We start from the raw sequence: 12387 nt of genomic DNA, 5'->3' as shown, positions 1-12387 counted from the left end.
TTTTATTTTTAGTAGAGACGGGGTTTCACCATGTTAGGCCAGGATGGTCTCGATCTCCTGACCTCGTGACCCGCCCGCCTAGGCCGCCCAAAGTGCTGGGATTACAGGCGTGAGCCACCGCGCCCGGCCGGATTTAAGCTCTTAATAGCGGAAATAAGGTTTTACTATTTCTCTGGAAAGGTACTTTGTTCTTTTTTCCCGCTTCTCTTTTGTTTACAAAGTTACATTGATAAATTTATAATAAACTTCTCAAGGTTTTCCATAATCAAAGAAGCTGACATCATCCGTGATGGGGCCTTAAGGATTATGAAAGCTCCTAATGACTGCTAGAAAAAGCGGTCAGAACCAAACAGAAGCAAGTCCTTTAAAGACACAATAAGAAGTCCAAACCATAACATCAACGACATACAGACCTTCATGATTTCGAGTGTTCTCCTGAAAACAGTAACATACCATTCAATCTAAGATTTGCAGTTTGAAGTTTGGTGGAACTCAGGTGCTGAGAGTTGAGGGTACTAAAATAAATGAGGGTGAGTTATGCTTCCAAGGCTCTTCGCCTTCTATCCCAAAGATATTGGGGATAGTTTAGTGTGAATCCTTCCTGATACTCTACAAAGAGACAAGTTTTTGTCTATAGCTCCTATCTCTCTATCCATCCATCCATCCATCCATCCATCCATCCATCCATCCATCATCCAGCCATCCAACCATCCGTCCATCCATCGATCCATCATCTGTCTATCTCTAGATCCATACACTTTAAAAGATATTTTGGCTGTCATACTGGTATGCTTTTCTTGGTTCATGATTTATTGGTACCTGTCAGTCTTACTTAGTAATTGCTGTATGATACCCCATGGTATGCTGGGTCATAATTGATCAGTTTTATTTGAAGCAGAAGAGAAAGACATAAAACAAAAATTAAATGCCCTTCTCTACTACTTTCCCCTTCATACTTAGTCTCACAGTTTTAGTTCTCCTGAGGCGTTACCACTCCAAAGATATACATTTCTTTCTTGGTTGCTTATAAATTATATGCTTACAAATCAGTCTTTTGTTTTATCTACTTTAGACAGACTCCGACGACTCCCTGTGAAAGAAATACTTCTAATATGAATTATATATTTTTAAAAATTCTTCTCAGGATTAGCTTTATGGCTTTTAATAAAATACCCATGTTAATTATCATCCACGGCTATGTTGATGTGGGTGGAAATCTCTGTGGTTTTCCCTGCTGCAGGCTCATTTTCTGCTTTGTAAGTATGGAGACCTGCTGGTTGATTTACTGATATCACCCTTTTTTATAACCTGCTGCTTGTTTTACTGATGTAACCATTTTTAAGGCAGCTCATAGTTTATTTGGAAATACAATTCTCTAAGAAATGTATCCAGCTTCTTATGCTCTAGTTAGTTCCCTATGCCGTTAATTACACCCAGAGAGTTTCTATTTTCATCCTAATTCCCTCTCAAATTAGCATAATCTGTCTTAAGTTCATTTGAAATGATAGTCTGGCCTGGGAGGGTAACACCTCCACCTAATACTTGCAGCAAGGCTAAGTCCTTCTGTTTAACTGAGAATTCTTTATGAGTCTTTGTTGAGCAAGGTGTTTTTTTTCTTTTTTTTTTGTCCTATCACTTTTTATTTGCAGTACAGAAGCTGTCACCTGTGCGACCCAAATTTCTTGGCTCCCTTCCTTCTTCTCCTCTTTTCCCCTCCCCTCCCCTCCCCTTCGCTTCCCTTCCTTTTTAAAATAGGGATGTGGTCTCATTTTGTTGCCCAGGTTGGTCTCCAACTCTTGGCCTTGAGCAGTCCTCCCACATCAGCTTCCCAAAGGGCTGGGATTATAGGTATGAGGCGCTGTGTCCAGCCAATTCTCTTCTTTCCAGCTCTGCTTTCATACCACCCAGTTCCTTCTTAAGACATTTCTCTTTCCCATTCTTCCTTGGTCATAGCTCCTCAAAAACAGCAACTAAAACACTATAGACATTGACCATCAACCTTTTCCAATCACTTTTCTGTGAGCATCAGGCTTGTTGGCATGTGGTTGGCTTCCTAGTTTTGAAGGGGATGATTTTTACCAGATATTTTGCTTTGCATCACCTGGGTTTCCAACTTTTAAGCCCAAGAAGCCTAGTTTCTCACTGCCTATTATCTGTCCATTAGGGTGGAGATACATACCATGTTTGATTGGTTTTATAATCTGTGTCTTCTCTTTTTACATCTAAGATGAGGATGAAAATTACAAACCTGTGGTATGTTATGGTTTAATTGTTAGTATTAAGAAAATTAGTGGTACATAAAATGATGGTGTATCTTGCAATTCATGGATTTTTAGATTAAAAGAACGATAGCACTATACCATTATGCAATGATAGGAAGGATTTCACTTTTTTTTTTTTTTAGACAGAGTCTTGCTCTGTCGCCCAGGCTGGAGTGCAGTGGCGTGATCTCGGCTCACTGCAAGCTCCGCCTCCCAGGTTTATGCCATTCTCCTGCCTCAGCCTCCTGAGTAGCCGGGACTACAGGCGCCTGCCACCACGCCCGGCTAATTTTTTGTATTTTTAGTAGAGACAGGGTTTCACCATGTTAGCCAGGATGGTCTCGATCTCCTGACCTTGTGATCCGTCCGCCTTGGCCTCCCAAAGTGCTGGGATTACAGACGTGAGCCACCGCGCCCAGCCAAGATTTCACTTTTGTACCAATTTCTGTAGCAGTAAGGGAATGCTAACTTCGGTAGCAATTACAACTTACAAATTTCAGTGGCATTACACAATAGAAATTTATATATATTGTCCTTCTAAGAGTTCAAAGCAGATTTTCCTGGCCAGTCGGCCCAATAGTGATTCAGGGACCCAGTTTCTTTCATATAGTGGTTCCACTGTTCCCTGGAGTCTTAATGTTCTTTGCACCTAACTTTTTAAAAGAGAAGAATAGAGAAGGTATACCTATTTCTCGAAAGTCTGGCTATCACTTCCACTCACGTTCCATTGGTAAGACTAATTTCATGGCTATCTCCAGATGCAAAAGAATGGGGAAAATGTAGTCATTGGCCAGATCACTGCTTCTCAGTGATAATTCTTAAATGTGGAAGGAGGAGCATGAATTTTAGTGGATAGTTGATACCTCTGATCCGATGCATATGATTTTTTTTTCAATTTTTTTTAACTTCCATCAGAATCCAAAAGAAAGTCTTCACATTACAGTTGGTGTATAAATGTCTTGCTTTTTAATCTATAGGATTCCCTCTTTCTCTCTCTCTTTCTTCATCTCTGACTCTTTGTCTCCTCTCGCTATTCTCTGTTAGTTCTTAAAATTAGAGGCATAATCAGTTCTTTTTAATTTTTTATATTTTTGTTAAGAGTTCACATAGATGGCATCATATTCCATTCAGAGACAGAGAATGTCTTGCTATCTCCATTTTTATGGTATTAGTATTCATTGATGTTCAATATCTAGATCCATTAATTTATTAGATGTTTCAAAATGAGGAAAATATAAATTCCTCATTTCTTCTTTTATTTTTTTGAACTGGGTTACTTCTGTAAAGACAAACTTCTCATACTATTTACTTAATCAGAGTTACACTTTGTATTGACAATAGGGGATAAGTGTTTGTTTTTTCATTGCAAAACATGTTCTTTTTAAAAACTTTTATTTCTTAAATCTTTATTTTTTGATTTATCTTCTCTCTTAGTTTGCTAAAGCTGCCATAACAAAATATTATAGAGTGGTGGCTTAAACAACAGAAATTTATTTCTCACTATTCTGGAGGCTGTGAAGTACAAGATCAAGATTCTGGCTGATTGAGTTTCTGGTGAGGTGAGGGCTCTCTTCCTGGCTTGTACATGACTACCTTGTTGCTGTGTTCTGAGAGAGAGAGTGAGCAAGCAGGAGCAAAGGGGGAGGGGCGGGGTGGAGGGGAGAAGGGAGAAGGGAGAGAGTATGAGCTCTCTGATGTTTCTTCTTAAGAAGACACCAGTCCTATCCGATAAGGACCCTATCCTTATAGCCTCCTCTAATCCTAATTACCTCCTGAAGCCCCCATCTCCAATTACCATCACACTGGGGTTTAGGGCTTTAAAATATGAATTTTGGGGGGACATAAACATTTAGTATATAACATTATCTTTGAATGCTATTTCTGGGCTCCCTATTTTTTTTTTTATAAATGATAATAATAGCATTCCTACTCTTTTCCTAACATTTTTCCCTCTTTGTACTTCTCAAATTGGTTAGCTATTTTAATATATTGTCAATGTTCAAAGCATTTACATTTTGGTTCTCTGAATAAATTAAGTTCATTGTTATTTATCTATACATTGAGTCTAAAAATTGAAAAACAAACACAACATAACTGTATACATAGTATTCATTATGGAGTCAAGTTTTGTGATCAGATCCAAATAGGAAATGCATTCTATATAATTAAAACTTGATTACAGTAGACTTTTCAAAGCATTAAAGAAGATGAAAGACATTGGTCATATGTCAGAGCATTCAGTGTTGGCCATAATGTTAAAAGAGCTGACTTTAATCAGTTTTCATTACGTCCAGGTGCTTTTTAAGCAGTTTATATATTAACACATTTTATCTTGACAACCCTAGGATAATAATAGTATTCCAAATTCGCAGACAGGAAACAGAAACAGAGATGGTAAGCAATTTGCCTCAGGCCACACAACTAGTTAGTTGTAGAATTAGGAATTCAACCCAGGCATCCTGGTTTCAGAGCTCATGTTCTTATTCACTTTAATGCCTCTTTCATTTTGATTCTTTTGTGGCTAAAATGTCTTTCTTTTTTGCCAGACGTTAGATTTTCTCTTTATCTTTGGAGTACTGAAATTTTATCAGGATATATCTAGCTGTGGCTTTCTCTTTTTTCATCAAACTTGTTTTGTTTTTGGAGAACCTTTTTAATCCAGGGATTCATATTTTTCTTCAGCCCTGAGGCAGTCTTCTTAAATTACATTTTCTCACAGTATGTTTTCAATTATTTTCACCACTCGTTCTGGTATCCCAGTTATTTCCTCCAGGATTACCTTTTAATGGATTATATAAGCTTCGATCAATCTTTCATGTGTCTTAATATTTCTTTTATTTCTATCTCATTGTCTTTCTGGACTCTGTCTTTTAACTTGGGATTCTGTTTTATTGTTCAGCAAACTAATTTATTTTATATCTGCAATCTTGCTTTGAATTTTCAAGAGTGCTTTCTTGTTCCTGTATTTTTTTCTTTTCAATAGCAGCATGCAAGCTCCTATTTCATAGATTCAGTATCTTTGATTCTGTATGAAAATTCTAGTGGAATTTTTTAAAGTTCTCTTCTGACTTCTAAATTATCTCTTTTTCTCAGTATGTCTTTTAGAATATTTTGATGTTTTTTAGTTTGTTTATTTATTTGTCATTTTTGGTGTTTATTTTCTGTCTGATCAGTATGTTATATCTGACGATCCTTACTTTTATATTCATACTATAAATTTTAAAAACTACAGTGCTTAATAAAAAAGCTGTTTTAGGCTTTCCTAACCTGTCTCTCTCTTAAATGGGAGGGGCTCTTTGAATGACCACTCCATTCACTCCTTCAGGGCTCATCTGAAATGTCACTTTCTTGGAGATACTGTCTGTAGCAATCCTGTCCAATTCGTTATAACTCTTTTATTTTTCAAATAGTACTTAACTTTTAAATATTTAAAATTTTATTAATGTTTTTCCACTAAATGATAAGCTCCTAGAGTGCAGCAAAGCCTACTTTTGTCCTTTTCACTGTACTCCCACCCCCAAGTGCAGCGCCTGTCACACAGCAGGTGTTTGCTCATTCAATAGTTGTTGAATAAATGCATTCTGCTTTCTGTCCCTTCAGTTTCACAGAGACTGTACTTACTTTGGCTATAAATACTTTTCTACTTACCAATCCTGTGGCAATGTTGAGTTCTAACCATATTTTGCTGCTATTCTTTATGGTTAATATGAAGTGAAGAAGTGAGTTCTCCCAGAATCACCTCCTAAGACAAGGATTTGAGTGCCAAAAGTTCATTTTGGGAGTGATCAGGAGTGGCCAGAAACTTATTTTGGGGGTGACCCAGAGTCACTAATAAGCAGCATTCAGTGATTTCCTCTACCTGTGATATATACTCATTTCCTCAGTTATCTTTAGTAATCAAATGACTTGATAGTTCTATTTCTAGCCCAGAAACTTGGCCACCTTTCAGTGTGCTTTGTTCAAGCCCCATCGTCCATCCTCCTGTCCTTGCTAGGATCTGAGGAGTCATCTGTGACACTCCCCAACTCTCCCTTCCCATGTGGAATCTATTGCCAAACTATGTCACATTTATCTTCAAAATGGCCCCCCAATAAATCCACATCTCTCCAGCTCTAAATAGCACCACATTAGCTCAAACCACCATCATCTTTCTACAGGACTATTTCAGTAGCTTTCTTTATGCACCTCCCCATCCAATCTGCTCTCTCTACTAAAGATAGAGTAATGTTTACCACGTGCAAGTGTAATCAAATTACAACCAGTTTAAAACCCATCAATGGCTGAGTTTAGCTCTGAAGATGAAGACGAAACACCTTAAAATTCCTTAAAAGACTGCCTAGCTTCCTTTTTCTCTAACCTTATCTGACACAGCCTTACCCTCTGCTGCAGCCGCACTAACTTCTTTTCTGAATCTTGTACTTTCCATACTGTCCTCTGTCACAGGGCCTTTGCACATGCTGTTCTGTTTGCCAAGAATACTTTTTATTGCTTTTTTTGGGGGGCAAATTAACTATAAGGGAGTACTCATTCCTTCAGATCTCAGTTCATGCATTAATTCCTTAGGGAAGCCACCCTCATCTCTGTGCCTTTTGTCACATTTGTGATTTGAAATTTTTTGTATGATTATTTGATCAATCTTTGCTTATTTACTAGACTGCTTGCTCTGTGGAAAATGTAACCATATTTTTTGGGTCCATTTCTTTGTTTTAGGAATAACTGCAGTTCTATTTTTTCTTTTATTACAGAGGTGCCATTCACATCAAATGTAGCCATTTTAGAGGTGTCAAAATAAATCAGCCATATTTAATAAATTCCAGCTCTACTCTTCTACCCTGTAGCCCAAGAAGCAGCAACGATGGGTAATTCTCAATCTTTGATATTTGTAGCCTATAAAGCAACAATCTTGTAAGATATTCAGATTCAATAATGTTACAAAGTAATTGGATGTCTATATTTCATTTCCTTAATAATTACTAAATTATATAGCTGTGTAAAAATATTGATGGCTCAAAAAATCTCCTTATTTTTAGGGTCAAAGGATCATGCAGTATTTTTCAGGGAAATGACACAGTTAATTTTGAATGAAATGCCAAAAGCTGGGTAAGTACTGTGAAGTAAAAAAGAAGGAGCTATACTATTGTATGCTCTGTGTTTCCACATCCCTCTTAACCCATATACATATACATGATCACTCAACCTATTTATCTTGGAGCAGCTTGGAGATGATGGGAACGCACTCTTCTTCCTATAGTTGTCTTAGCTGTCACTGAACAGATTGTTTCCTAAAACAATCAGATTCATGGAGCTGGGAGTTATATATGTCCTTATCCAGAATAACAGCCTTTAGAATCATATTCTCAAGTTCAAATCCTGGCTCTGCCATTTAGCATTGGATAATTTCCTTTGCCTCTCTGAGCCTAATTTTATTTTAATAAAATAGTAATTGTGCTATCTCCTTCTTATAAAGGACAGTTGCTTAAATGAGGTATTTGAAAAGGCATCATGGACTGGCATGAGGTACTCAACAAACAGTAGCTTATGCAATAATAGTAACAACAACAGCAACAAAGTCTCTGTGAAACATCTGTGATTTTTATTCTCTTTGATTTTTATTTTAGGTATTCCAGCATATTAAATGATTTTGTGGAATCTAATTTTTTTGTGATTGATGGAGATTCCTTGCTTGTCACATGCCTGGGTGTAAAATCATTCAAGTGGGGACAGAATCTCCACTTTTTCTATCTGGTTGAATGCTATCTTGTGGATCTTCTGAGTAACGGAGGACAATTCACCATAGTTTTCTTTAAGGTAATATATGATGATTGATGTCGTTTTAGTCCTTTGAAGACTATAACTGAAATGTCTTAACCTAAAGAGCCTTTGACCTAAAATGAAGCATGTCATCATAGAAAATATAAAAAGACAGGTTAACAAAAGAAAAAATTACCCATAATTTCACTACTCAGAGATAACCATTCTTTATTTTTTATTTTATTAAATTTTTTTCCCTCAACTCTATGTTCCCACATTCACAATATAGATCAGGCACAGAGCCTGGGCTGAGGGGTATATTGGGTAGGTTTACTCTACCTCCTTTTCTATATAGTCAGTGTAAGAATTCAGCCTGTGGTAAGCACCAGCAAGCCCATTCTTTAAGTTTCAATATTTTATTATAAAATTTCAAATACAGGTAAGTTGAAAGGTTGTAGAGCAAATATCTATATCCCACCATCTAAATCCTACAATTACATTTTATTTTACTTACTTCTTCATATATCTGTAAGCTTATCCATGCCTTTATTCACCTGTCAATCCTTTTATTTTGGGGGTACGTTTCAAAATAGTTGTAGACATTACATTTAACTCTGAAACACTTCATCATACATGCCATTAACTAGAGTTCGGTACTTATTTGCAGGTTTTTTTGATGGTAAAATTTACATGAAATAAAATGCACAGATCTTAAATGTGTTACAAAAAGTTTTGCTCCAACCTAATGCCATTTAACGATCTTTGGCACGTGCATAGTATTTACCAGTACATTGAGTTTTGACACACGCATGCACGTGTAACCCAAACTCTTGTTCCACAATACGTCTTCTCATGCCCCTGCCCAGTCCATCCTCATCCCATCCCCTAGAAGCAACCACTGTTTAAATCCTTTCTATTGCCTTCTTGAGTTTTGCCTGTTGTAGAACTTTCTTTTTTTTTTTTTAGATGGAGTTTCGCTCTTTTTGCACAGGCTGAAGTGCAATGCCGTGATCTCGGCTCACTGCAACCTCCACCTCCTAGGTTCAAGTGATTCTACTCTCTCAGCCTCCCAAGTAGCTGGGATTACAGGCGCGTGCCACCATGCTCAGCTAATTTTTGTATTTTTAGTAGAGACAGGGTTTCATCATATTGGTCAGGCTGGTGTCGAACACCTGACCTGAGGCAATCCACCCGCCTTGGTCTCCCAAAGTTCTAGAACTTTTAATAAATAGAATTTTACAGTATGAACTCTTTGTATAAACCTTTCATTCAACATAATATTTTTGAGAGGCATCCATTTTGTTGTGTGCAGTGGTATTTTGTTCCTTTTATCACTTTTGAGTAAGGTTTTATTGTAGAAATGTGCCACGGTTTGTTTACCCATTTTCTTGTTGAGTGGACACTTTCCTGTTGAGCAATCTCTTTCAATATCTTGCCTAGATGAATAAAGCTACTATGTGCATTCACATGCAAGTCTTCGTGTGGACGTAAGTTTTTATTTTCCTTGTGCATGTATCTGTGGTTGAAATATATGTTTTATAAAACTGCCAAAGCTTTTCCTAAGGTAGTTGTGCCCCTTTACACTCACTCCAGCAATGAATAACAGTTCTGGTGCCCTGTGTAGTTGCAAACATTTGTATTTGGTCAGTCCAGCCATTCTGGTGGATGTGTAGTGTTATGTCCCTGTGTTTTAATTGGTATTTATCAAATGGCTAATGATGTTGCCTACTTTTTCAAGTGCTTATTGTTCATTTGTATACTATGACTTGTGAAGCATCTGCTCGTATCTTTTGACCATTTTAAATTGGGTTCTTTATCTTTTTAATATTGAGTTGTAGTAGTTCTTGATATATTCTGTATACAACCTCTTGTCATGTATATTATTGCAAATATATTTTCCCAGTCTGTGGCTTGTCACTTCATTTTGAGACAGAGTCTCGCTCTGTCACGTAGGCTGGAGTGCAGTGGCGCAATCTTGGCTCACTGCAACCTCTGCCTCCCGGGTTCATGCCATTCTCCTGCCTCAGCCTCCTAAGTACTTGGAACTACAGGCATGCACTACCATGCCCGGCTAATTTTTTTGTATTTTTAGTAGACATGGGGTTTCATCGTGTTAGCAGGATGGTCTCAATCTCCGGACCTCGTGATCTACCCGCCTCTGCCTCCCAAAGTGCTGGGATTACAGGCATCAGCCACCGTGCCCGGCTGCCACTTCGTTTTCTTAGTACTATCTTTGGATGACCAGATATTTTAATTTTGGTGAAATCTAACTTATTATTCTTTAATGGTTATTGTGCCTGTATCCTGATAAGAATCATTGCCTATCTCTTAGTCACAAAGATATTTTCCTATATTTATTAATAATTCTAGAAGTATGTAGTTTCAGCTTTTGCATTTTGGTCTATGATATTTCTTGAATTAATTTTTGTGTGTTTGTGGTGTGAATGGGGGATTGAGGTTGATTTGTTCCAGCATCCATTGTTGAGAACATTTTTCTTCCACCAGTGGATTGCTTTGGTTTCTTCATCAAAAAATCAAATGATTATATATGTGTAGGTCCATTTCTGGGCTTTCTACTATGTTCCATCAAAGGATTTAACAAATTACCAGTACCACAATGTCCTGATTTGTGTAATTTTATAGTAAATCTTGAAGCCCACTTTGTTCTTCTTTGTTTAACTTTGGCTATTCTAGGTTCTCTGCATTTCCACACGAATTTTAGAATCAGCTTGCCAATTTCTATTTAAAAAGAACGATGGGATTTTAATGATATTCATTAAATTTGTAGACCAATATAGTCTTTCAGTTAGTGAACACAATATGTATCTCTGTTTTTTAAGATCTCTAATTTGTTTTATCAGTTTTGTAGTCTTCAGTGTGGAGGCGTTGCACATCTTTTGCTAAATCTATTTCAAGATATTTCATGTTTTGATCTTACCGTAAATTGAATTTTTAAAAATAATTTTTTAGTTTTTGCTGCTTGTATATAGAAGTAGAATTGATTTTTGTTTGTTAACTGGTATCCTGCAATCTTATTAAAACAACTTATTAATTTCAGTGGCTTATTTGTATATTTCTTAGATTTTTTAATGTCTTCAGTGAATAAATACATGCTTATTTCTTATTTTCCAATTTTATTTTTTAATTGCTTTTTCTTGCCTTATTACAGTGATTGGCATCTCTAGAAATGCTGAAGTAGAGTGAGTGGGAATCTTTACCTGGTTCTTGATCTTAAAGGGAAAGTATCCATTATTTCCCTACTAGGTATCATATTAGCTGTAGTTATTTTACATATATCCATTATCAAATTGAGAAAATTTCTTCTTATTTTAGGTTTTCTGAGAGTTTCTATAATTAATAGGTGTTACATTTTAAAAAATGCTTTTTCTACATTTATGGAAACTCTGATACACCTTTCCTCTTTTACTTTCTTAATTTGGTAGATTACATTAAGTGATTTTTAAATATTAATTCAATCTTTTATTCCTGGGAAAACCTTAGTTGGTCATGATAGATATCCTTTCTTTAATATATTGCTGGGTTTGATTTGCTAATATTTTAAGTGTTTTTGGTATATAGTCATGAAAAACATTAATCTGTAATTTTACTTGTTTATTTATTTATTTATTTATTATTTGAGATGGAGTCTCACTCTGTAGCCCAGGCTAGAGTACAAAGGCATGGTCTCGGCTCACTGCAACCTTTGCCTCCCAGGTGCAAGCAATTCTTCTATCTCAGCCTCCTGTGTGGCTGGGATTACAGGCATGCGCCACCATGCCTGGCTGATTTTTGTATTTTTAGCAAAGATGGGGTTTCCCCATGTTGGTCAGGCTGGTCTTGAACTCTGGACCTCAGGTGATCTGCCTGCTTCAGCCTCCCAAAGTGCTGAGATTACAGGCATGAGCCACCGTGCCAGGCCAATTTTATTTTTTATAATGCCTTCGTTTGGTTTTGGTATCAGGATCATGCCGACCTGGTGAATGTGTTGAAAAGTCCATTTTCCTCTTCTATTTTCTGAAAAAGTCTTTATGAGATTGGTATTATTTCCTCAGACGAATTTGATAAAATTTGATCAAATTTTCCTGTGAAACCATTTGGGTCTAGAGTTTTCCTTGGAATAAAATTTTTGATAACAAAGTCAATTTCGTTAATAAATATAGGGCCATTTAGACTTTCTGTTTTATCTTGTGTCAGTTTTGTTAATTGTATATGTCAAGGGATTTGCCCGCCTTATCTAAGTTGTCTAATGTTTTGGCATAAAGTTGCCTATAATATTCTCTTATTTTCCTCTTATTGCCTAAAGATTTGTAGTGATGTTAGTGTTAGTTAGCTCCTTCTTTCATTTTTTTTTTTTTTTTGGAATGGAAACTAAATT

At 36.5% G+C, this 12387-nt stretch overlaps 1 protein-coding gene and 1 non-coding gene across 25 annotated transcripts in view; one reads left to right on the top strand and one right to left on the bottom strand.

The window, feature by feature from the left end:
* Positions 1–12387, top strand: part of DDX60L (DExD/H-box 60 like) — a 123758-nt gene that overhangs the window by 677 nt on the left and 110694 nt on the right. For 13 of the 24 annotated variants that reach the window (XM_047416399.1, XM_005263341.5, XM_011532405.2 and 10 more), the window contains exons 2-4: positions 7007–7120; positions 7292–7361; positions 7880–8069. In XM_047416399.1, coding sequence (XP_047272355.1) covers positions 7117–7120; positions 7292–7361; positions 7880–8069 — 264 coding nt within the window. In that variant the 5' untranslated portion in view covers positions 7007–7116. Of the gene's footprint in view, positions 1–12; positions 181–254; positions 531–3695; positions 3821–7006; positions 7121–7291; positions 7362–7879; positions 8070–8978; positions 9486–12387 lie in introns of those variants that run through there. The other 11 variants (XM_011532403.3, XM_006714408.3, NM_001378072.1 and 8 more) reach the window with 7 other exon arrangements.
* LOC124900181 (small nucleolar RNA SNORA51) lies at positions 8277–8407 on the bottom strand. Its single transcript, XR_007058529.1, has one exon. It is a non-coding gene; the product is annotated as a small nucleolar RNA SNORA51 (small nucleolar RNA).

The sequence above is a fragment of the Homo sapiens genome, chromosome 4, assembly GCF_000001405.40.
Source record: "Homo sapiens chromosome 4, GRCh38.p14 Primary Assembly".
In the NCBI taxonomy this organism is placed as follows: domain Eukaryota; kingdom Metazoa; phylum Chordata; class Mammalia; order Primates; family Hominidae; genus Homo; species Homo sapiens.
The sequence above is the reverse complement of the archived record's forward strand: the minus strand, read 5'-3'. Positions and strand labels throughout refer to the sequence as shown.